At 38.5% G+C, this 26,218-nt stretch overlaps 1 protein-coding gene across 7 annotated transcripts in view; it reads left to right on the top strand.

The window, feature by feature from the left end:
- The window catches only part of BTBD7 (BTB domain containing 7), a 95,487-nt gene that overhangs the window by 3,490 nt on the left and 65,779 nt on the right, over positions 1-26,218 (top strand). For 2 of the 7 annotated variants that reach the window (XM_047431565.1, XM_047431567.1), the window contains exon 1: positions 937-24,964. The exons of 4 other annotated variants lie outside the window; for them this stretch is intronic. The gene's annotated coding sequence lies outside the window, so the exon portion shown is untranslated. Of the gene's footprint in view, positions 1-936; positions 24,965-26,218 lie in introns of those variants that run through there. One more of the 7 variants, XM_047431566.1, reaches the window with a different exon arrangement.

Genomic DNA, 26,218 nt, shown 5'->3' with positions numbered 1-26,218 from the left:
AGTTGCATCCACATTTTGACTGTTGTGAATAAAGCTGCTGTGAACATGGATGTTAAAATATCTGAGTCTCTGCTTTCATTTATTTTATGAATTTTATATCCAGAAAATTTTACAACCCCACCAGCAGTGCACAAGGGTTCCAGTTTCTCTACATCTTCACCAATACTTGTTATTTGCTGTTTGGGTTTTTTTTTCCTAATATTCATCCTGATGAGTATGAAGTGATATTTCATTGTGTTTTTGGTTTGCATTTTTTAAAAATGATTGGTGATGTTAAGCATCTTTTCATGTGCTTATTGATCTTTTGTATTTTTTTAGAAAAATATTCACATTATTTCCCTGTTTTCTAATTAGGATTTTTTTTTGTTGTTGAGTGTGGAAGTTACTTATGTATGCTGAATATCAATCCCTTATCAGACATGATTTGCAAATGTTTTCTCCCATTCTGTAGGCTGCCTTTTCACCCTGTTGATAGCGTCCTTTGATGTACACACAGTTTTTAATTTTGATGAAATCCAGCTTACCTAGATTTTCTTTTGTTGCTTATGCTTTTGGTGTCATAGCCAAGAAATCATTATTAAATCCAGTGTCAGGAAGCTTTTCCCCTATGTTTTCTTTCTTTTTTAAAGATAGATAGGTTCTGGGTCTGTCACCAAGGCTGGAGTACACTAGTGTGATTATGGCTCACAGTAGCCTTGAACTCTGGTCTCAAACAGCCCTCACATCTCAGCCTCCCGAACAGCTGGGACTACAGGTGCGTACATCCACGCCTGGCTAAGTTTTTAAAATTTTCTGAGGAGATGGGGTCTCACTATGTTGCCCAGGCTGGTCTCGAACTTTTGGACTCAAGTGGTCCTCCCGCCTCAACCCAAGGTACTGGGATTACAGGTGTGAGCCACTGTGCCCAGCCTTTTTTTTTTTTTTTTTTTTTTTTTAAAGAATTTTATAGTTCTGGCTCTTAATTTAGGTCTTTATGTGTGGATATCTATTACCATATACGTGGTTTTTGCATTACCATTTGTTGAGAAAACTGTCCATTTCCCATTAAATGGTCTTGGCACCTTTGTTGAAAATTATTCGACCACAAGTTTGAGGGTTTATTTCTGGGCTGTGTATTCTATTCCATTGGTCCATAAGTTTGTTTTTATGCCAATACCACTCTATTTTAATTACTGTAGTTTTATAGTAACTTTTGAAATCAAGAAGTGTGAGACTCCACTTTGTTCTTTTCAAGATTGTTTTGGTAGTTTGGGATTCCTTGAGATGCCATATGAATTTTAGGATGGGTTTTTCTATTTCTGCAAAAAATAGGCTATTAGTATTTTGTTAGGAATTGTATTGAATCTCTAGGTTGCTTTGGGTAATGTTGACATCTAAATACTGTCTTCCAGTCCATGAACATGGAATATCTTTCCATTTATTTGTGTCTTTATTTCAGCAGTGTTTTTTAGTTTTCAGTGTAAAAGTCTTTTGTCTCCTTGTCTAAGTTTATTCCTAAGTATTTTATTCTTTTTGATGTGATTGTAGATAGGATTCTTGTCTTAATTTCTCTTTTGGATTGTTCATTGTTAATGTTTAAGAATGCAACTCATTTTTGTGTGTTAATTTTGTATCCTACAACTTTACTGATTTATTAGTTCTAATAGTTTTTTTGTGTGTGGAATCTTTTTTGTGGAGTTTTCTACATATAGGATCGTGTCATTTGCAAACAGTTAATTTACTTCTTGCTTTCGAATTTGGATGCCTTTTATTTTTTTCCTTGCCTAATCTCAGCTAGGACTTCCGGTACTGTGTCGACTAGAGGTGGTAAAAGCAGGCATCCTTGGCTTGTTCCTGATCTTAGAGGAAACGTTTTGAGTCTTTCCCTGTTGAATATGATACTAACATGAGTTTTTTATATAAGACCTTGATTATGTTCAGGTAGTTTCCTTATATTCCTGGTTTGTTGAGTGTTTTAACAGGTGTATTTTAAGAAAAATCATTTGTGGGTGCTGAAAAGAAAGAATTTCTAGCCTGGTGAGTGAGAGAATCCTGGAGTCATTGACAGAATAATATATTATCATGAAGTTGATGTTTTAGGCATCATCTTTGTACATTTACAGACCTGTTTTGATTGATAAAAATAATACTATAGTTATTTAGTGGGGAAGACTGACATTACTCAAATAATTATGCAGATGTATGTCTGAATAACTATAGTACAACTGGCTCACATTTGTATTTCTAGTATCTAGCACTGTGCCTGGCACAGGGGCATTCAGTGAAGTTGCTAATTGAATCAAGAAGCAGAAGAGTAAGGTTTAACCCAGTAAAGTAAAAAACATATTATTATATAATTTTTTAATGGAAATAATGTTTATTTTTATTTTACCAGTTTTTAATTTTCTTGAGACAGAGTCTCACTTTGACAGCGGGCTGAGCGCAGTGGTGTAGTCATGACTCACTGCTGCCTTGGCCTCCTGGGCTCCAGCAAGCCTCCTGCCTCAGCCTCCCGAGTAGCTGGGAATACAGGCACGTGCCACCATGCCTGGCTAATTTTTGTTGTGAGAGACAGGGCCTTGCAGTGTTGCCTAGGCTTTATTTAAAACCATTTTCCCTGTTAACCCAGTCTTGGTACAATGGTAATAAAGCAAAATCAAAGTTCACCACTCTAGAAGAATTAGGCAAGTGACTTTTTCTAAAACAGGTATAGTATCATTATTAAAGTGAGGTAACAGTTTTTCTTTTGACTTTTTTTTTTTTTTAGACAGAGTTTTGCTCTGTCGCCCAGGCTGGAGCGCAATGGCGTGATCCTGGCTCACTGCAACTGCTGCCTCCCAGGTTCAAGTGATTCTCTCCTGCCTCAGCCTCCCAAGTAGCTGGGACTGTAGGTACGCGCCACCACACCTGGCTGATTTTTGTATTTTTAGTAGAGACAGGGTTTCGCCCCATTGGCCAGGCTGGTCTCAAACTCCTTACATAAGGTGACCCACCCGCCTCAGCCTCCCAAATTGCTGGGATTATAGGCGTGAGCTACCATGTCTGGCCCAGTTTTCTTTTTGGGTGAATGCTAGTGGAAGTTAGTTATCAGAATCCAAAGTTTCAGAAGGAGGCTTTTTGCTCTGTCGCCTAAGCTGCAGTGGTGCAATCACGACTCACCAGAACCTCAACTACCTGGGCTCAAGCAGTCTTTCCACCTCAGCCTCCTGAGCACCTGGGACTATGGGCATGTGCCACTATGCCTGGCTAACTTTTGTACTTTTTCTGGAGATGGGGTTTCACTGTGCTGCCCAGGCTGGTCTCGAACTCCAAGACTCCAGCAGTCCTCCAACCTTGGCCTCCCAAAGTGCTGGGATTATAGGTGTGAGCCACCATGCCCAGCTGAGGCATAATTTCAACGAAACTTTTCAAGTGTCTGCTGATTCCAGATTTATAATGAAATTTGAACATTCAGCACTTATTTGCAGAACAAGTTCAAAAGTTAAGAACCACCACGCTGTGGTGGTTTTTTGTTTTTGTTTTTTTAATTTTAAAATTTTGGACAGTTTGTAAATTTGACATCACAAATTGAATCTTTCAGATACCCTTACTATTTCAAATAATATAGTAACTTTAGAAACATAATATACTTAGTATTATAAATTGACATTAAATCCATGTCATTGTGTGACATGTGAGCATTATGTTAAGATTGAAATAGATGGGGACACTTGGAATAGCTAGGAAACACTTTAATCCAATACACAGAACATTCTTTAAGTTACAGGATTCAAAATAGTTCCCTTTTAGAGCATCGTTGGGGTTTTTAGATATAGTTGTGATAGAACACCAGACTGGGAATCAAACCTCCATTTAGATTCTGACTGATGTTTATAGTTTTATGATCTTAAAGCAAGTCACTTAACCTATCTGAAGATTAATTTTCTCATCTGTTAAAATAGGTATGGAAATCTTGAAGCTTTTCTACCTTGTATGTATTTTTTTACTCCATTGTTCCCCTCTCTATTGCCACTCCCTTATTAGTCTGGACTACGTATTAAACAGCCTGCCAGCTAAGTCTCTGCAACTTGTTCTCCCACTGTACCTCTCCATCTCTGGCTATTCTCTATATTACTATGACAATTATGTTCTTAAAAAACAGGCCAGACACGATGGCTCACACCTGTAATCCCAGCACTTTGGGAGGCTGAGGTGGGCGGATCACCTGAGGTCGGCAGATCACCTGAGGTCAGGAGTTCAAGACCAGTCTGGCCAACATGGCGAAACCCCATCTCTACTAAAGATACAAAAATCTGGTGTGGTGGCAGGTGCCTATAATCCCAGCTACTTGGGAGGCTGAGGCGGGAGAATCGCTTGTCCCCAAGAGGCGGAGGTTGCAGTGAGCCAAGATTGCGCCACTGCACTTCAGCCTGGGTGATAGAGCTAGACTCTGTCTCAAAAAAAAAAAAAAAAAAAAAAAAATTGGAGCATGCTGCTTCTCTACTTAAAATACCTTTGTTAACTTCCCTTGTCGATAAAGTCCAGACTCACAAGAGTTTATAGAATGTGTTCAACCTTAGGTCTCCTGTCACTCCAGCCATGCTGTTTCTTGTTCCCTGTGCCTCTGTCTTGTGTGTGTTTATCCCATTGTTTGGAGTTCTTATTCTTTGCCTATTCTGTTAGCTGCCCATCTAATGTCTACTTTTCTCTTCTTTCCTAACAGAAATCTGCTTTTGTTCATGCATGCAGCAGACTTGGAGAAGCTGATTTGTCACCACCTCCAGTAGTAGAGTTCCATTAGTTCAAACCAGTCAAATCATGGCATTTCCCTGTAAACTCTTATTTGTACCGATCAGATTTGAAGGGAAGTAGACATTCTGTTTCTGGGGGAGAAGATTCTTTCCTCTCTTGTATGTGAACAAGGGAACACAAGGCCCCTATTGCTACCGACAGCTGTCTTGGGATCACAAGGGATGAAGCACTTCCTGAAGATGGCAGATCAGAGAGGTAGAGGGTATCTGGATCCTTGGTAACATCATTTAACCACATATTTTATTGGGCCTGGAGCCATCCCCACCACAGGACTTCTCATGACAGATAATTTTCTTAATGTTTCAGACAGTTCTTTGGAGTTATTTGCCATCAAAAATCTCTTTTTTTTTTTTTTGAGACAGGGTCTCGCTCTGTCACCCAGGCTGGAGTGCAGTGATACAATCACAGCTCACTCCAACCTTGACCTCTTGGGTTCAGCAGTCCTCCTGCTTCAGGCTTCTGAGAAGTAGCCACCACACCTGGCTACTTTAAAAAAATTATTTGTAGAGGCAGGGTCTCCCTGTATTGCCCAGGCGTCTTGAACTCCTGGTCTCAAGTGATCCTCCCACCTCAGTCTCCCAAAGTGTTGGGATTACAGGTGTGAACCACTGCACCTGGCCCAAAATCTCTTGATTGATACAGTCCTCTTTATTTTTCAAGATCAAGTTATGATACCTTTACCAACAGTCATACATTCTTTTGGAACTTTGCACAATAGTCATATGTTCTTTTAGAACTTTACACTTCTATTCTTTATTGCCCTGTATTATAATTGCTTGTATGCCTGACTCCTCTACATGACTGTATGGTTTGAACCAAAGTGTACGGGATGTCGCACAGTGTCTAATAGTGTCACACAACAAGTAATAGGTATTCAGTAAGTGAGTTAAGATGAAATAGTAACATGAAAGAGTGCTTTGAAAGCAGTTTTTTAAAGAGTTTCTGTTCTGCTAATTGTAAGCCATTTTTTAAATAAACATGACGTGTGGTGTTGTCTTTAAAGTAAAAATGGAAAAACCAGTGAGATCAGACATTGTTTTTTGCTTGCCCCTCATTATTACCTAGACATTTTCATTTAGATAAAAACTATGTCAGTCTCCTGGCTGTAGTCCTTTACGGAAGGAGCAATATTACATTTAGCTCTGTTTCATCTGGGATTCAATTGTGAATTATTCTTTAGAGAAAAATTCTATAATATGCTTCATGAGACCTATTCTTGTCTTCAGACTTGCCTAAAATATTTTTTGCTTGCTTAAGACCAGACATGAGAATTTTCTTGTAAGCAGAAAGCTTTGTGACAGGACTGGATGAGTTTGTAGTGAATGTTAGTGATAGCTATGACAGAAGTCTCATAGCCTCAATTGCAGAGTCATAGTTCTGTCACATGCTTCAACAATAATGTCTGATAAGGGAGGAAGGATGGGGAAGAAGAGTTACAATTTACTAACTGTATATATTTCATCATTTATTGGCTTTGGTCAAATAAATTAAACATTAACATAGTAATTTGTAGGGTTAAAAAAATTTTTTTTTTCTATTCGCGTTCTTGCTATGTTCCCCAGGCTGGTTCCAAACTCCTGGGCTCAAGCGATCCTCAAGCCTTCTGAGTAATTGAGATTGCCACACCCAGCTTTGCAGTGTTTGTTTTTTTTAAGAGACAGGATACTCATTCTGTGCCCAGGCTGGAGTGCAGTGGCCCTATCATAGCTCACCGCAGCCTCAAACTCATAGGCTCAAGAGATTGTCCTGCCTCAGCCACCTGAGTAGCTAGGGCAGCAGGCACACGCCATCATGCTCAGCTAATTTGTAAACATTTTTTTTTGTAGAGATGGGGTCCTGCTGTGTTGTTGCCCAGGCTGGTCTTGAACTCCTGGCCTCAAGCAATTCATCCCATCTTGGCTTCCCAAAGCACTGGAATTATAGGCATGAGCCACATCACCCAGCCTTGTAGTTATTTTTAAAATGAAGACAAGAGGAATAGAGTATACCTTTAAAAATATATGATACTGTGTATTGGATGATTCTGAAAGGATGTATTTGCCTATGAAGAAAAACCTTCTTGTTTTGATGTCTGGTTGTTAGCTTTTTACTTTACTAAAGCCCAGTTAACTTTTCTGTGCTTTAGTTCCACATCTGTAAAATTACTCATTTTATATTTCTCTATCCACTTTGAAAATTAAGTAAATGCTCTTTGAATTTCAACTTTTAATTATTTAAGCCAAGATCTCTCTTCTGTATTTTTTATGTGTTCTTTATTGTGGGCTTACTAATTCTTGAATTTAAAAAAATCATTTAAATCAAGCAATAGTAATAGTATATGTTTAAGCATATAGTGTATGTTTTTAAATAAATAAGCAGGCTGGGTTTTAGTGGCTCACCCCTATAATCCCAACACTTTAGGAGGCCAAGGCAAAAGGATCACTTGAGTCCTGGAATTGAAGACCAGTCTGGGCAACATAGCGAGATCACACCTCTACAAAAAAAAAAGTTTAAAAATTAGCCAGGTATGGTGGTATGTACCTGTAGTTCTTAGCTATTCGAGAGGCTGAGGTGGAAGGATCGCTTGAGCCCAGAAATTTGAGGTTATGGTGAGTAGCGATCACCCCACTGCACTCCAAGCCTGGTTGACAGAATGAGACCCTGTCTCTAAAATAAAAATAAGCAATAGCATATTTTTTTAAAAAACAACAAACAACTCTTTTAAGTCCAAATTCCTTTTTGGATCCTATGGCTCATATCTTGCCACTGCCTGCTGCACTCTATATAGAAATACTTTTATTTCCTTCAGGAATCCAGTTTTGTTCTCTCCGTGGGCCTTCTCATAGTTAGTTCCCACTGCTGTTTGGAGCATTATTTTGGCATTCTTCTCGCTCCTTCTATTATTTTCACCAAGAAAAGAGGAAAGCTCACACTTTCTATTGTCAGTCTTGGATATCATCCCAAATGTCACTTTCTCAAGAATCGTTTAAGATAAACAGTTGTATTATCAGCCACAAAGAAGATTAAAAAAAAAAATTGCCCAAGATCATACAGTTTAGAAATGGCAGAGTCAGATCCAAACTTGGGCAGTTTTGCTCCAGAAGTCTTTATCGCCACTGATTTATGCTTCCCCTACATTGTAATTGCCTGTTCAACAGTTTGCCCCACTATGAGCACCTTTGGGGTATTGTTTGCTTGTTTGTTTGTGACGGAGTCTTGCTCTGTAGCCCAGGCTGGAGTGCCATGGCGCGATCTCAGCTCACTGCAACCTCCACCTCCCGGGTTCAAGCGATTCTCCTGCCTCAGCCTCCCGAGCAGCTGGGATTACAGGCACGCACCACCACGTCCAGCTAATTTTTGTATTTTTAGTAGAGACGGGGTTTCACCATGTTGGCCAGGCTGGTCTTGAACTCCTGACCTCAAGCGATCCACCCGCCTAGGCCTCTGAAAGTGCTGGGATTATAGGTGTGAGCCACTGCCCCCCTTAAAAGAAGCACCTTTGGAGGAAAAATTATGCCTGTCTTGTTCATTGTTATATCCCCATGTGCTTAGCACATACTAGGTGCTCAGAAAATATTTAAATGAATGAAAATTCTTATTTGAGGGAGAGAGTGTTTTGATTAAATTCTTCTCAGTACCTTTCATGTAGTGTGTCAGTAAATGCAGTAATGTTTTCATGCCTACTTATTATACAAAGTGAAATTTTTATGATCAAGTTAATCATGGTTACAAGCTCATTTTTTATAACCTCTCTTAATTCCTTTTTGCCCTATACTGCGTAACGGTATCACTTTGCAACTGTAAAAACTAGTGCTTTGTAGGCCTCTTTCTCATATTATCCCTCTGTGAACTGTTAAAATATAGATCATTTTTAATTAGTTTCTAAAGGGTATGTAGGAAATTGTATAAAATAAAATTATACTAGTAGATGGACTCTGATCATTTATACTGTTTAACCTTTTAACAAATTACAGAGGTGTAATTTCTCTGTGTGTAGAGGTTTTTTAAAGTATCCCATATTTTAAACCTTGACTGTTACCTCAAAAAAAAAAGTGGTTTATCTGTGTCCAGTAGTCACATGGTGGATAATGATGTAAGGCATGCACATTGTGTTCATGTGTTTGTTGGAGAAGTTGGAATGTCATTATACTTCAGTAGACTTTTCAAATGAAAAATCTGAAAGCTACTTCTAGCTGTAATTCTGCTGTAATTCTCAATCAGGTCAGTAGACAGAGAACCAAAAAAGTCTTCCTCCTCTCTGAATGTTCTTGCCAAAGCCTGACTTCTTTGATTAATCTTTCTTTTCTGTATTCCTTACACTCTATTACAGGGCTTCTCAACCTTGGCACTCTTGACATTTGGGGCCAGGTAATTCTTTGTTGTGGAGGACTGTCCTGTGCCTTGTGAAATGTTTAGCAGCATCCTTGGCTTCTACCTGTTAGAGGCAAATAGTATCCTTCCCCTTTCCCCTGTCCAGTTGTGGCAATTTGAAATGTCTCCAGACATTGTCAAGTGTGGGGGTTAGGGAGGGTGGAAGGGGAGAACAATCACCCCAGTTGAAAATTGCAGCTTTCCTACATCATTCTGTCCACTTACTCATTTGTTTTAATATCTTCCCCTCCCTCTCACACTTACCTTTTCAGACTTCCTGCCTCTCTGCTACTGCCTCATTTCTCTGAACCTTTTTGCAGCCATACTTCTAAAAAAGAATTGTAAAACATCTGTTCTCTCCAAGTTTTCACTTGCAGTTCAGTTTCCTCTTTTGAATTCTATTGAGACCACATTTTTCTAGTTTTCCTCTATCTCTCTGGCCGTTCCATTTTTATTTTCTTTATCAGTTCTACCTAGTTGGACAATGGCATCATCTTTGCCCCTTTCTTTCTTGTTCTCTGTTATTCAACTCTCAAGTCTTCCTTTCTTGCCTCATTTCCTAGTGCTTAATGTTGTCTCTCATATGTGTTGTCCTATTCATTTTTATTTTTTTTGGTAAGAACACAATATGAGATCTACCCTTTCAACAAATTTTTAAGTATACAATACATTATTGTTGACTATAGGTACAGTGTTGTACAGTAGATCTCTAGAGCTTACTCATTTTGCTTAACTGAAACTGTATGCCCGTTGATTAATAAGTCTGCATTTCCCCCCAGCCCCTGACAACTCCCCTTTCACTCTTCGATTCTATGAATTTGATTATTTTAGATACTCACTTATCATTCTGGGTAATGACCAGGCCTAGATAAAGACCTCATATAAGTGGAATTATGTAGTATTTGTCTTTCTGTGACTGGCTTATTTTACTTAGCATAATGTCTTCAAGGTTCATCCATGTTGTCACCATATTTCCTTCTTCTCTGAGGCCAAATAGTATTCCATTTATGTATTTACTACATTTTCTTTATTCATTCATCTGTCAATGGATATTTAGGTTGTTTCCACATCTTGGCTGTTGTGATATCTATTAATTGTTAAGCTGGTCTCTGTATTGAAATCTCCTTGCCTATATTTCTCCATAGTTTAACATCCTGCAAGGACCAGAGCAGATTTTGTCTGTTGTTTTTTGGTTTTGGTTGTTGTTATTGTTAGAGACAGTGTCTCATTCTGTTGTCCAGGCTGTAGTGCAGTGGTGCAGTCATGGCTCACTGCTCACTGTAACCTCAAATGCCTGGACTCAAGTGATCCCTCATCTCAGCCTCCGGAGTAGCTGAGACTGCAGGCACACACTATCACACTTGGCGAATTTTTCTGTTTTTTTGTAACAGCCTGTTGCCCAGGCTGATCTCAAACTCCTGGGCTGAAGCAATCTGCCCACCTCGGCCTCCTGAAGTGCTGGGTTTACAGGCGTGAGCCCCCGCATCTAGCTTGCACCTCATTTATTAAGGGTTCGTTATGAGCCAGGCACTCTTTAAGGTCTTTGGACTATATAGTTACTGAAATAAGACACAGTCCCAGTACTCCAAGAACTTAGTCTGTTTGAGGACATGGAAATTTTAATTCATTGCTCTTACAGAGTGAGTATGGAAATTGAAGTGTATCCCAAACTTTCTGGTAGCATATAGGAAAGGGATGATTTCTCAGTTTGATGTAAACCTCATTCAAGTGCCACTTCTTACATGCAGGCTATCCTGGTCACTACCCAGTCTGATTTGTGTTTTTATACTCTCCTTTACTCAGTTCTCTTTCTTTTCCAGCCCCCAAATCATCAGCATTTCCTATGACTCAACACTTAGCTTTTCATTCATTCTTCTAGATCCTTTTCTTTAGGAAATGGATTTAATTTCAAGGGTTCAGCTGAAACTTTCAAATTTGTAGTAGCTCCAACAAAACATTTTATTGTGAAGTAATACACATACAAAGTACATTAAATAAATCTAACTTAAAAAAACATTATTTTAAAGCTGACATCACTCTGGCCATGAAATAGAGCACTGTAAGTATTCCAAAAGCCCCCCTCATGCCTCTTCCCAATCATAACCACTTTCTTCCTCCTTTTAAAGGTTACTGCTATTCTGATCTTTATGGTAATTTCCTTGCAGATTTTTAAAAATAGCTTTATTCTTGATTACCAGCTGAATATTTATCCCAAAACAATATAATGTCATTTTGGGAGGACAGTAGAGAAAGACATTTTATCATATCCCGTTTTGTGCCTGTATTTTGAATCCGCAAGATCACCCCCAGGTTTGGTGAGGAGGAAGCACAGAACTCAACATATAGTATGACTCAGCTAAGAGTTACTACAGCAAAAAAAATACAAAGCGAAAATGCCCATGGGGCAACGTCCAGAGGAAACCAGGCACAAGCTTCAAGAGTCTTATCCCAGTGAAGCCGCGTAGGATGCATTGACTTGTTACAATCCTTGTGAAATGTTGTCTTCCAGGGAAGCTTATAAGAGACTCACTGCCCAGGGTGTTTATTGGGGTATAATCACATAGGCACCCTCTGTCTAGCTTGTACCAAATTCCAAGCTCCCAGAAGGAAAGCAGATATTCAGCATAAACCATATTGTTTGCACAAACAGTTTAGGCATAGTAAATCACCCTTATTAAATAGTCAGGGAATTATGGGAACACTCCCAAAATCCAATTTCCCAGAGACCTGCCAAGGGCCATCTTTGCATGCAGGCCTTTCTAAAGATAGCAGTCTTAGGCCTGCTATGTTGTCTTTTTGGCATAGTACCTTTTGCTGTTTCTGAATTCAAAATTTAAATAAGTAAAAAATCAATTATCACTTTATGTTATGTTCTTTTTTTCTCCACCGTTGTTTTCTTTCCTAATGTATCAAGATTAGCTGGGTGTGGTAGTGTGTGCCTCTGTAGTCTCAGCTACTTGGGAGGCTGAGTGCTGTAGTGCACAATAATTGCACTTAGGATTAACCACTGCACTCCAGCCTGGGCGACATACCAAACCCTGTTTCTCTTAAAAAAAAAAAAAAGTATCAACATTAGCTCAGTGCAAAGGTTGACTACTATGATATGATTGAAAGTATATTCCGGCCGGGCGCAGTGGCTCACGCCTATAATCCCAGCACTTTGGGAGGCTGAGGCAGGCAGATCACTTAAGGTCAGGAGTTCGAGACCAGCCTGGCCAACATAGTGAAGCCCCATCTCTACTAAAAATAAAAAATTAGTTGGGTGTGGTGGCACATGGCTGTAATCTTAGCCGCTCGGGAGGCTGAGGCAGGGTAATCGCTTGAACCCAAGAGGCAAAGGTTGCAATGAGCTGAGATCGTACCACTGCACTCTTTCTTATGAAGGTTTCTGTGATTAAGTTTGGAAAGGATGAATTAAACAAAGTTAAACAGATTTCTTAACTACAGGACTCTTAGCCTTTTCACAGGAATGTGCATGACTTGGTGACTGCCTACATGTCCTGCCTCATCTCACGTTTTTTTTCCCTGACCCACTTTGCTTACTCTGCCCAGATTTAATCTAGTACTAAGGATCAAATTACAATTGTCTATGTTACATGGGCATTTTCTCAGTTTGCCACAGCAATATTATGATCACTTTACCATCTTGAATATGAACTGTCCCTCCATCTCTGCTCAATTACTGTGTCAGAGCAAGCAAACGTTTTTACTATTTCATTCATAGATTCAGCAAAATTTGTTAAGCACCTACTATATTTGCCAGACACAGTTCTAGGCACTGGAGATACAACAGTGAATAAAAGAAAAACCCTGACCTTATATAGTTTACCTTATAGTGGGGAGTGGAAAAAGGGAACAATAATTAAAAATACATGTTATGCCCAGTATGGTGGCTCACACCTGTAATCCTTAAACTCTGAGAGGCCAAAGTGGGAGGATCACTTGAGGCCAAGAGTTCAAGACCAACCTTTATAACACACCAAGACCTCAACAGAAAAAATAAAAATAAATTAGCTGGGCACAGTGGTGCATACTGTAGTCCCAGTTATTCGGGAGGATCACTTGAGCCCAGGAGTTTGAAGCTACAGTGAGCTATGATTGTGCCACCACACTTCAGCCTGAGTGACAGAGTGAGACTGTCTCTATTTTTTAAAAAAAATTAAAAAAAAAAAGACTGGGCATGGTGGCTTGCACCTGTAATCCTAGCACTTTGGGGAGGCCAAGGTGGGTAGATCACCTGAAGTCATGAGTTCGAGACCAGCCTGGCCAACATGGTGAAACCCTATCTCTACTAAAAATACAAAAAAATTAGCTGGGCATGGTGGCAGATGCCTGTAATCCCAGCTACTCGGGAGGCTGAGGCAGGAGAATTGCTTGAACCCGGGAGGCAGAGGTTGCAGTGAGCCGAGATCACACCATTGTACTCCATCCTGGGCAACAAGAGCAAAACTCCATCTCAAAAAAAAAAAAAAAAAGATACATTTTGCTCCTAGGCATATACTTAAGAGAAGTGGAAGTACATGTCTACACAACTTGTACAAATGTTTGTAACAGCATTATTCATAATAACCAAAAAGTGGAAACAACCCAAATGTCCATCAATGGATGGATGGATGAATGAATAAATCAAATACAATGTGGTATATCCATACAATGAAATATTATACAGCAAATAAAGAGGAATAAAGTAGTACTGATAAATGCTACAATGTGGATGGACCTTGAAAACATCATGCTAAAGTGAAAGAAGCCAGTCACAAAAGCCCACATTATTATATGATCCCATTTATATAAAATGTCCAAAATAATAGAGGTAGAAATTAGATTAGTAGTTGCCTAGGATTGGGGAATTGAGGTGAGTGACTGCTAATGGAACTTCTTTTAGGGGGTGATGAAAATGTTCTACATGTCAGAACCACTGATGGCTGCACAGATGTATCTACAAGTAATATAGTGTCAGTTAAGCACAACGTTCTCAAGAAATTCAGTAAAAAGTCAAGCCTAACATTGTACACCTCAATGGCTAACAAAAGCATCCTCCAGTTATTTGGAAAATTTATCCATCTCGCTTCCTAGCAACAGCAGGTAATTGAGTTAGCTTAATACTTAGGACTTAATAAAATGTTAAATGTTAGTATACCAAATGACTTGAAACAATAATAACTGTGTTATAAACTCTTAATTTAATGTTAACTTCCTCCTTAATAGAAGAATATTTACCCACATACTCTAATTTGGAGATTACAACACAAATTGAAAGCACTTTCTCAAATATTGTCCTAACTGCTTAAATATTTATATATAAATTAGTTTTCTGATGTAAAAATGTTTGCAGTAAGAAGGAGGAAACCCAGAAGTTACAAAGGAAAAGACAGAGTTGTCTATATGAAAAATTTAAACATTTGTGACAAAAGCTATCATAGTTTTAAAAGGCCCGTATGAATATTTTCCGTTTATTATTTTAACATTAATATAGAAAATGTTGCAAATTTGTAAAAAGAACAGCCAAATAGAAAAATGGGCAAAGAATATAAAGCAACATGGGGACTAATGAATATCAGTTTATTAATTTTTAAGAGATTAAAATAGCAATGGCATAATTTTTCCTCCATCAGATTGCAAAGATGAATAATGTCCAGCATTTTGGACATTCTCATGCAGAGCTGATAGGAGTGTAAATTGCAACTCTTCTGACAATATGTCTTCAAATTAGAAACATGTATATCCTTTAACCCAAGAATCTTCTTGAAATTTATTCTAATGACATAATTTAGACTGGGCAGAGTGGGCAAAGATATGTGTAAAAGACTTGCAGTGCTATTTATAATATTGAAAAATTGGATGTGACCCTCAATATGGATTTGGTTAAGTAAATTATTACATATCTATACAACACAGTTCTATGTAGGAATTTTTTTAAGGTAAAGTAAAATTTTGTGTGTGGCCATATTTTTGCAACCTTGCTATATTATGAAATGAAAATAGTTTTGTATAAAACTGTCACCTGGCCAAATTTTAAATTTTGATATACATATGAGTGCATAATAGTTTTTAATTTTAGGATTTAGTGTAAATTTAGTTTTCATAAATAAGATAGTCATATCCACATTTAATATTTTTTTCTAATAATTCAGTATCTCTTTTAATGATTTCTTCACTGGTTTGGGTTTTCCTACCCTGTTTAAGAATGATAATCTACAAGACTTCCCTACTGACTACTCTGGGTTTGTTACTCTTTGGAGATTATGTTTTTTAAATCATTTAAACAGCTAAGAGTTAACAGATTTCAGACCTTGCTTACTATGCATTTATAGCAGATATTTTATTTAAGAAGTATTTCATAACTAGAAATACTACAAGAACACTAAGAATATAGTTTCAGCCAGGTGAGGTGGCTCATGCTTTGTAATCCCAGTGCTTTGCAAAGCTGAGGCAGGAAGGTCACTTGAGGCTAGGAGTTCAAGACCAGCCTGGGCAACATAGTGAGACCCGTCTGTACCAAAAAAAAAAAAAATTTTGTTGTTCATTAGCTGGGCACGCTGGCACACACCTATAGTCCTAGCTACTTGGGAGGCTGGGGCAGGAGGATTGCTTGAGCCCAGGAGTTGGAGGCTGCAATGAGCTATGAGTGAACTACTATACTCTAGCCTAGACAACAGAGCAGGACCCTTTCTCAAATTAAAATAAATGTGTGTGTATATATGTGTGATTGTGTGTGTGTGTGTGTGTGTGTGTGTGTGTGTGTGTAGTTTCATTTTAGGATAAGTCAAAAATTCAGATACTTTCCTCTTCACTAGACTCAGAATTCTAAGAACCATACTCAACTCATTTCTCTGTATTTCCATCATTTTCTAGTTTGAAAAATTATTCGATTGTTGCATATATTAGTGGAATGTGATGTACTTTTATATTCTTTTAAAAATGCATTTTTAATGGGGAAAAAAGTATCAGCAGGGGACTGACAGCTGTTATGAATTATAATAGGTTATATTAGAAAAAAACCACATGGCTTAATAAGATTCTCCTAACAAAACCCTAACAACTAACTAATCTTCATTTGCAGTAATGCAATGGAATTTTATAGAAAATGTCAATTTAAAGATTTTCATTTAACATGAATAGAAATGTTTTCTGACTTGACTATTTTTGGTGGTGGGTGGATAAGGGAAAAGACTATTTTTAACTACAGGTCCACATTCTCTTACTTATAATTTGAAATCCCAAAAGTTCTGAAAACTATTTTAGGGGTTATGGGAGGACTTAATTTGATGGCAAACACTGACATGACCTAGATTTGTCTGCCAGCAAAACCGAACCTAAACTAACATAGGTTAGTCTAAATAGTATATTTTACTGCAGAATATTAATTTGTTTGATGTTACAAACAAATTATTACAAACAAATTAGGGTGCTGTGCCAGATCTCCCTGGGGATAGTTATATAGTATACAGTAAATGTTTGGTATACCATATGTCATGCCAAACTTCTGTCACTCCAGTGGGCATGGCATTAGGTTCAAGAGGCCGAAGAAGAGACCCAGAGCCGGCAAAAGAGATGTGGGGTTTTATTGGGGGCTTACATACAAAGGAGAGGGTACAGTGGCAGTGGGCTGGACGGGAGAACTGCCTTATATACAGTCCAGTGGCAGTGGGCTGGGCAGAAGAACCACAACTGCCTGCCATAGGCATGCAGTTTATATAGCATTTCCACTTAGCACTTCCACCTAGCAACCTCCACCTGGCACTCTTTATTCTACCCAAAACTTGGAGCCTCAGTCTCCTGTAGGGCTTGTGTTCCAAGAGACAGGTTGGGGGCTCAGATGTCCTTATAGACAAGGAGGGAATCTCTGGGTTGGCCACTCCTGAATTCCCTAGCTCAGAACACACATTCAGGTGCATCTGCCATACAAAGTCATTCTAAGGATATGCTTAAATTATTGCTGTCAGGTATGTTTACTATAACCATATTATTTCTCTTTGAAAGCAAAAGAAAAAAGTGAATTTTTGAATGTATGTGGCTCCAAAGATTTCTATTTGAAAAAGAATTGTAGACCTGTATTCTTAACACTCTTTAACTGGTACTTTAAGCTGATGATGAGCATTAAATATATATTTTATTGGTAGAACTAAGACTGAGAGTGTAGTATGTAACCACTCTATAGGTAAAGTTTAATTATCAAGAATGTGGGGAGAATATATGAAATGTAAAATAAGCTCACTGGTTATAGGTATTCACTGTAAATAAAAATATATCACTTAAAATACTGGGGTAGAGACAGGAGAAGGAAGTTACTAACTTAATTTCAGCATTGCTCATAGTAGGGAACCAACGGATAATAGCCAAAAAAACAGGGAATGTAAAATGTTGTATAAAGTATAAGTAAAGTTACATATGGGGCAGGCAGGGACTAGAATAGAGTAGACAGGGACAGCAATTTGTATTCTTTGGATGTATCTTTTTTTTTTATTTTAACTTTATACTCACTTAAATGTTTAATTATATAACAAAGTTAAAAATGCAATGACTAAAAATCAAAATAAATCTTATAAAGTGGATTTCCCATTGGTTATATAATCACACAGAGTAAACCATTCCAAGTGACTTACATATACAGTAATTTGTAGAATATTCCAAGTTGGGTATATCCTAAAGATAAAAAGAATTGTAAAAAAAAAAAAAAATTAAAAATATTTTCATGGATCATATTGGTGATGATAGTGTTAATATTTTTATTCTCAGGTTGTGTGAATATTTTGTGATAAACTATTATGTAGGCTGCATTGAGAATAGAGGGTTTTCATATGTGAGAAAGGAGAAATGATATAAGATAATGAGATTGAGTAAAAACCCTATAAACCTGAATTTGAATTGGAAGCAACAGTATAAACTAATGATAATGTACATTTATGTATCTATGTACATGTTTATGTAGATATGTGTGTATATAATGTCTTAGATCTTTGTACTGAAAAGGCATTAAGCATCCCTATTACTGAGATTGTGGTTTCTGAATACCATTTCCCACTAAAGGGAATTAGGGCTTCTTTAAGGAAATGACCAGTGCCAAGTCAAAGGCAAGAAAAATACAAGATATGCCTGGAATAAGTTGTAATACCAGAAAGGTAAGGTAACCTCTGCTCTCGGAGGCAGAGGTTAGGATTATGTCATAAGGTCTCAGGAACCAATTTGAATAAGGCTCTACTGTCCAAAGATGGGACAGTTTGAACTTCAATAAGAATAACTACAAAGGATTAAAACCTGTCACATAGATGTAAGTCTATTAATTCATAACTTTTTAAAACTCACTGATTGTCTTTAAGGATGCTAGGAAGCTATTACTAATTGTTTTGAAAATTAGTAAATAAAAGTAAAAAATTACTCATTTATTCTGTCCTTTCTATACAGACTGCATCAGGACAACTGAATAGTTGATGAGTTTTTTTTATAGAATTTTTCCAGCTAGTGAATAAAGAAAGAATGATAGACTATCATGTGATCGTTTTTCAACCCCGTTAATGGATTGCTTTAGTTGGTGATCATTGATAACTGTTAATATCAAAAAAAGGGAATTCAATAGACTTTTGAACTTAACTGTTGGAAGTACATACTACCTGCCACCTGTGAAGCAGTCTTGGCAAAAAAAAAAAAAAAAAAAAGTTTTTTGGTTTTTTTGTTTGTTTGTTTTTGGAAACAGAGTCACTGTTGCCCAGGCTAGAGTGCAATGGTACTATCTCAGCTCACTGCAACCTCCACCTCCCAGGTTCAAGCAATTCTTGTGCCTCAGCCCCCGAGTACCTGGGACTACAGGTGCGTGCCACCACACCCGGCCAATTTTTATTATTTTAGTAGAGATGGGGTTTCACCACGTTACCCACGCTGGTCTCTATCAATTTACTGTAAATACAAGAGTCAGAAGCACATTATTAAACTACATCATGGTAATACATTTGGCAAAATCCAAACTATAGGAAACAACCAGGTAACCTGATTTCTTCAACAAAAAAAAATTGTAAAGGGGGAGGAACCCATATGCAGAGATTGAAGAGACATAGTCATCCAGTCACAGTGTGTAGACCTTATTTGGATCCTAATTCAAACAAAGAAAAAACAATTTGAGAAATGTTAACACTGCCCAGGAGTTTCATATTAAGGAATTATTGTTTATTTTAGATATGATAGTCTGTAGTTGCTTTACATCCTTTTAGAGGTAAATATGGAAATATTTACAGGTTGAAATAATATGCTATCTGAGATTTGCTTGAGAATATTCTACTGGGATTGGGTAGATAGTGGACTGGGATATAGTTGATACTTAAACCTGTAATTGCAGCACTTTGGGAAGCTGAGGCAGGAGGATCACTTGAGTCCAGGAGTTTGAGGTTGCAGTGAGCTATGTTTGTGCCACGGCACCCCAGCCTCTGCAACAGAGCAAGACCCCATTTCTAAAGGGGGAAAAAAAAACACCTGCCAATTGGTAAATGTTGGTTGAAACTTGGCAATGGGTAGAGATCCATTAACTATTTTCTCCACTTTTTTATTGTATATTTTTTCATTTTTATTACAAAAATTACAAAAGTATCTCCTGCAAAGGAAGGAAAAACAAGTAATAGGAAGGGATGAGATTAGAGAAGCTTAGTCATTTAATTGTCCTCTGTGTTTGAATGCTAGGAGATTTGATATTTATGGAGTATTAATCACAATCAAGAAACATTTTACTGTTCAACAATACACAGCACTAGAGAGATTAAGATCTGTCCCTTTACCTCAGTTGGGTGATAAAGTAGAAACTGGAGACTTAAGGGTTGAGTAATAGAAACAGCAGCACAGTGGACACAGAAGCATGAGGTAGACGTGGCAGCTTCCTTCAGAAAGGTTGGTATAGCACTGAAGACTTTTGAGACGCTTTCTTGTTTAGCAGGGGTGTGGAGGTTGGGGGGATAAGACACACACTAGATGAGGGATTGAAGGCCTGGTCTTTGGTCTTGGCTTTGCCATTTTACTCTTTTTTTTTTTTTTTTCTTGGAGACAGAGGAGTTTTGCCCTTGTCGCCTAGGCCACACACCTTGGCCTCCCAAAGTGCTGGAATTACAGGCGTGAGCTACTGCACCTGGCCCATTTTACTCTTTATTTGACTTTGGATAAGTCACTTTAAAGTCTCTACTTTGATTTCCTCATTTGGAGAATAGAGAATATGCCTGTGCTGTCTACATGGAAGAGTTATTGTGAGAATAAAATGACTTAACACATGAAAAAGCCCTTGGTAAACTGTATTCCCATTCTGATGTAAGATACTCCCACTCCAGTCATTAAAAGGAACATGAAGTTGGGGGGAATGTTTAAAAAAGGGAGTGGAGAGGGAAGGTATGTCATTGCTTTTCTGTTTTAATGTTTTTTTGTGAGGTTTTTTCCATTTTTTAAGTTGTCACTTAAAAATACATAACATTTACCATTTTAACCAGTTTTAAGTGTATATATAGTTCTGCAACATTAAGTACATTCACATTGTTGTGCAGCCATCACCACCATCTCCAGAACTTTCTCATTTTCCACAACTGAAACTTTGTGCTTACTGAACACTAACTTCCCAGCCCCTGACAACCATCATTCTACTTTCTGTCTCTATGAATTTGATTACTCTAAGTACTTCATATAAGTGGAATCCATATTCGTCCTTTTGTGACTGGCTTATTTCACTTAACATAATGTTCTTAGGGTTCATCTGTGTTTCAGCATGTGTCAGAATTTCCTTCCTTTTTAAGGCTGAATAATCTACTCTATGTATACACCACATTTTGTTTTCCCATTCATCTATCTGTGGACACCTGAGTTGCTTCTACCTTTTGGCTGTTGTGAATAATTTTGCTATGAACGTGGGTGTACACATCTGTTTGAGTCCCTGTTTTCACTTTTTTTGGTATATATCCACAAATGGAATTGCTGGATCATATAATTCTATGTTTAATTATTGAGGAAGCAGTGTGTTTTTAAAAATTATTTACTTTATTGCTTATGGAAACATTTCCACAAGTCGTATTTGAGGGTATATGTACGCTGTGATCCATGAGGCTTTTTGCTGGGAAATCTTTTGTCTCCAAGTACTAATCCAATTTTCTTTTCTTTTCTTTTTTTTTTTTTTTTTGGAGACCGAGTCTGGCTCTGTCGCCTAGGCTGGAGTGCAGTGGTGCGATCTCAGCTCACTGCAAGCTCCGCCTCCCAGGCTCACGCCATTCTCCTGCCTCAGCCTCCCGAGGAGCTGGGACTGCAGGCGCCCACCACCACACCCGGCTAATATATTTAGTAGAGACGGGGTTTCACTGTGTTAGCCAGGATGGTCTCGATCTCCTGACCTCATGATCCGCCCACCTCGGCCTCCCAAAGTGCTGGGATTACAGGATTGAGCCACCGTGCCCGGCCGCAATTTTTTAATCACACTCTTCTAAGAGGCTTAGACTGTGAAGGAATATGGATCCCAAGAAATAGTTTTTGGACTCAAAATCTTGAAGAATGATTACAGATAAGCCTTTCCTTACTAAATGTTTATTTTTTAAAACTAATTTCATTCAGCAGTTTTCAACTTAATGCCTCCTAAGTGCCAGGTACTGTATTATGTGGTGAGGATTTAGTGTTGAATAAATGAAATTCAAGTGCTGAAAAGTACTACTGTAAAGAAAATAAACTGAAGAAAGAGGATAGTGAATGATGGGGTGGAATGTTATTTTATATAGGCTAACTAGGGAAGTCTTCTCCAAGAGGTAGTATTTGAGCAAAGACTTCAGTAAAAATGAGAGTATGAAACATGTGAAGATGTTTCAGAAGAGTGGTACAGGCAAAGGGAAGAGCCCTGAGGTAGGAGTAAGAAATGCTTTTCAAGTAGACAACTCAGGGATCAGATGACAGCCTATCTTGACCAGTACCTAGTACCTATATGAGGAAATCAATTGTTGTAAGATAGCTCTAGAAAGTAAAGTCACGTCTGGGTGTGCTGGCTCGTGCCTGTAATCTGAGCACTTTGGGAGGCCAGGGCAGGAGGATCATTTGAGACCAGGAGTTCAAGACCAGCCTGGACAACATTAGTGAGGCCCTGTCTCTACAGAAAAAAAATGTTTTTAATTAGCTGGACATGGTGGCACACGCCTGCTCTAGCTACTTGGGAGGCTGAGGCTTGGAGGATTGCTTGAGCCCAGGCACTGTGAGCTATGATTGTGCCACTGCACTTCAGCCTGAGCAACACAGTGAGACTCTGCCTCTTAAAAATAAAAAAGAAAAGTACAGGAAAACTAAAAATAGAAAATTGTTAGGGATAATTTATTTGCATATTCTGTTAATCTAGAAAATACTGTATTTGTGGTGTGGGAGATGTCAGGAAGATATTACTGCTGACATGACATTCCAATAATGATTACTACATAGAAGACATAACCTTTTCCTCTGAAATGTTATTTTCTTGGCAGAGGGGCATGTACAGTGAACCCAAAGGATATATTTTATCATCTGTTCAGGGAAGACAGAATGAGACAACTGATAAAGAGAATCTGAGTTTTAAGAAATGATCTCTAAAAATCTTAGATAATAAAATACTTTAATAACCAAGTATCTTACTGATATATATGACAGTGATACATATATTATTAGGAGAACACTCAGACTCAGATCTCAAGAGAGGTTAGAGATCACCCATATTTTGCTGGGTGCTGTGCAGTAATGTGAAGTTATGCCAGAAATAACTTTGCGCCTCAAGAAATAAGCACCATTACTTCTTAAGACTCTCCATTTATCTTTTTAGAAACATTGATAAGATATTTGTAAATAATATCCTCATTTAAAAGTAAATGAATTATCTTGGGAGAATGCTGTATTGTAATACAAGGAATTTTACCTTTAGAAATTAGATATTATTAATAGTATTAGAAAACTTTTGTTTTTAGACTTCTTTATGTTCTGTTTGAATTGTTTCTTCCTTGATAACGTCTTTTTTTTTTTTTTTTTAAAGAGAGATGAGGTTGTTTTGTTGCCCAGGCTAGTCTGGAACTCCTGGCCTCAAGCAATCCTCCTTAGCCTCCCAAAGTGCTGGGATTATAGGCGTGAGCCACCGTGCCTGGCCTCTTTAATATGTCTTTCCCAGATTTCAAACCCATTACCTTTATCACCCTCAGTGGACCCATAAATTGCTTCTCCTATATGCTTCTTGGTTTACAGCATTGTAACCACCCAGTTATGCAAGGTAGAAACCTCAGTCATCGTTTCCTTCTTCCTCTCCACCATTCCCCTTACCAGTTTGGTGAGCATTCTTCACTATGTCTTCTATGATAAGGACCTCATATGTATTACTTAATTTTTTATTATAGATGTCTACTATGATTTGCTGTTCCCCACATTGCATGTGTTGGGAACTTAATCCCCAAATCTGTATGTCAGTTGAACGTAGGGCCTTTGGAAAGTAATTAGGATTAGATAAAATCATCAGGGTGGGGCCACCATAATGGGGCTGGTGGCTTTATAAGAGGAAGAGAGACCTGAGCTGACACGCATGTTCTTGCCCTCTTGCTATGTGGTGCCCTCAGCCATGTTAGGGCACAGCAAGAAGGCCCTCACCAGATATTGGGGTGGTCTTGGACCTCCCACCCTCCAGAACTGTAAGAAATAGATTTTTTTATATATTACCCAGTCTATGATATTCTGTTACGGCAACAGAAAACAGACTAAGACAAGCTTCTAAACAAATGGAAAATAGAGTTTTAAGATGCAGACTTTCATTGCCTTAACAGGGCCAAGAATATCTATTTCATTCTGACATACTTAAACTGTAATATCCTCTCCCAGTGTTTCTGCTACAAGTGGGTAGCACAGAACAAGCAATGGGATTAAGGAAAAATTACCATAGTTATAAGAAAGCCCTCTAATAATGCTTGTGAGAGTGAGAGTTTTGTCTGGTTTTCTACTTCTTGTTTTTCATAAGAGACCTTGTTGATGTCTCTTACAGAGAGGGTCTTTTATAGCTAAACGTTCTCAAAACTTGTTCATCATCACAACCACTAGTGCTTCTTTTACAAGGACCACTATATACAAGACTCTAAGTGTAGACTTCAGAAGAAACTTAGGAGGAACACATTTTTCACTTAACATGCCAACAAAGATTCTTTAAATAGCAAATATTCTGATGGGCAGGAGCTCATCAGAATGGAGTGACTAGCCAGTATTAAGCCATTATATATGACTTGTAACTTTTTCACTGAAAATTTAAAGTAATGGGTCCCCCACCCTCATATTTATTTAGACTCAGTCTCCGTAATGTGAAGAAAAATAGAATTTTACTATGTAATTACCTCAACTGCTAAGCCATTATTGTCTTCTTATTTATAAGAATTTGAATAATTCATAGGGCTAGTCACATGCCTATTCCTTTAATGATCTAACAGTTTGGAATTTGAACTGTCTTCATGAAGACTGCCCTGGATGAGGAAACCTTTGAGTTTCTGTTTTGTTCTGTGTTCTCTTCTGTCTGTGCAGCCATAGTCTCAGGCTTACTCTAGGGTTCACCCAGCATGTTTGCTTATCTCTCCAGCTCTACTAGTGGAACCCATGGTAACTTATCAATAAGAAGTATACCCTTGTATTTTAAACATTTGCTAAGTTGGTGTCAGAAAATCTGAATGTTTTGGCTTTGAATGGAATTTAGGAGAAATTGCATTTTTTCCCTTTAAATTCAGTTGATTTGAATGTATTCTCTGATGTCAGTTCTATTTCTCTCTGCAAGTCCTCTTTAAACTCAAATCTAGGCCGGGCACGGTGGCTCACGCCTGTAATCCCAACACTCTGGGAAGACGAGGCCGGCAGATCACCTGAGGTCAGGAGTTTGAGACCAGCCTGGCCAACATGGTGAAACCTCATCTCTACTAAAAATACAAAAATTAGCCAGGTGTAGGGATGCACGCCTGTAATCCCAGCTACTCGGGAGGCTGAGGCAGGAGAATCGCTCGAACCTGGATGGCAGAGGTTGCAGTGAGCCAAGATTGCGCCACTGCACTCCAGCCTGGGCGACAGCACGAGACTCCGTCTCAAAAATAAAAATAAATAAATAATAAACTCAAATCTAGACTCATTTTTATCACCATCTCTAAATCTAGAGTGAACCATCTTTCTGTACACTCTCAAGCCAACAATAAAAACAGTTGTCCCTGATTAGAACAATCATTTCCTTTATTCAATAAAATATTGTGTGCCGGGCTCAGTGCTAGTTTTCCATATCGTAAACACAGAGGCTCCAAATGGCAGGCCCCATCACCTTATGAGAGTTGATTGGGCAAGTTCTGCAGTCTGTCTTGCAGGGCCTCATAATAATTTTTCACCCTCTGCTTATAGGCTCTTTTTCCTGACTTTTGGGGAAGACTTTTCAGGCTCCTTCCAGAGCTACTTCAGTTTTGGGGGATTCTAGCTGCTAGAAGACATCAAAACTTTTGGGGATGTCCAGGCCAAGGCAGCTCCTGCACTGGCTGCTGTAGGCATCACTGCTCAGGCCCTCTGCCAAAGACCAGATAAGAGGAATAAGCGACTCCCATTGTCCTAGAGTCAGGCCTTCCTCTGGTGGGGGGTGGGGAGGCCGTTTCAGCCCTCTAATTCCCATTTTCCATCTGTTGCTTCAAGAGGATCTTCTTCTGAGGTTGTAGGTCAGGATGAAGCATTTGGAGTGTGAGCTCTGAGGGTAAAGGTGGCAGAGTAGGAGAGGCCCATTTGTGTCTTCACAGTGCAGCCACATTCATTCTTAACGCACCACTTTCCAGGAATTGGTTCTCTGCTTTAAATGGCTAGAAACTGAATTTTTTAAAGAATATTTTAACATCTTTTAAGATGTAGTTCGTCTAGTCCAGGTCAGACCTGGCACAGGCCCAAGTCCCTCAAAAGACATTTCTCTTTTGATAGGCTCCTGTTTCTGCTTTCCGAGTGGCAGTCCATATTATCTTTTTTATTTTTTTTTTTAACTTTTTTTTTTCTGAGATGGGGTCTTGCTATGTTGTTCAGGCTGGTCTCGAACTCCTGAGCTCAAGCGAGCTGCCTGCCTCAGACTCCTGAAGTGCCAGGATTACAGGCATGTGTCACCATG

Source organism: Homo sapiens, chromosome 14 (assembly GCF_000001405.40).
Source record: "Homo sapiens chromosome 14, GRCh38.p14 Primary Assembly".
Classification (NCBI taxonomy): domain Eukaryota; kingdom Metazoa; phylum Chordata; class Mammalia; order Primates; family Hominidae; genus Homo; species Homo sapiens.
The sequence above is the reverse complement of the archived record's forward strand: the minus strand, read 5'-3'. Positions and strand labels throughout refer to the sequence as shown.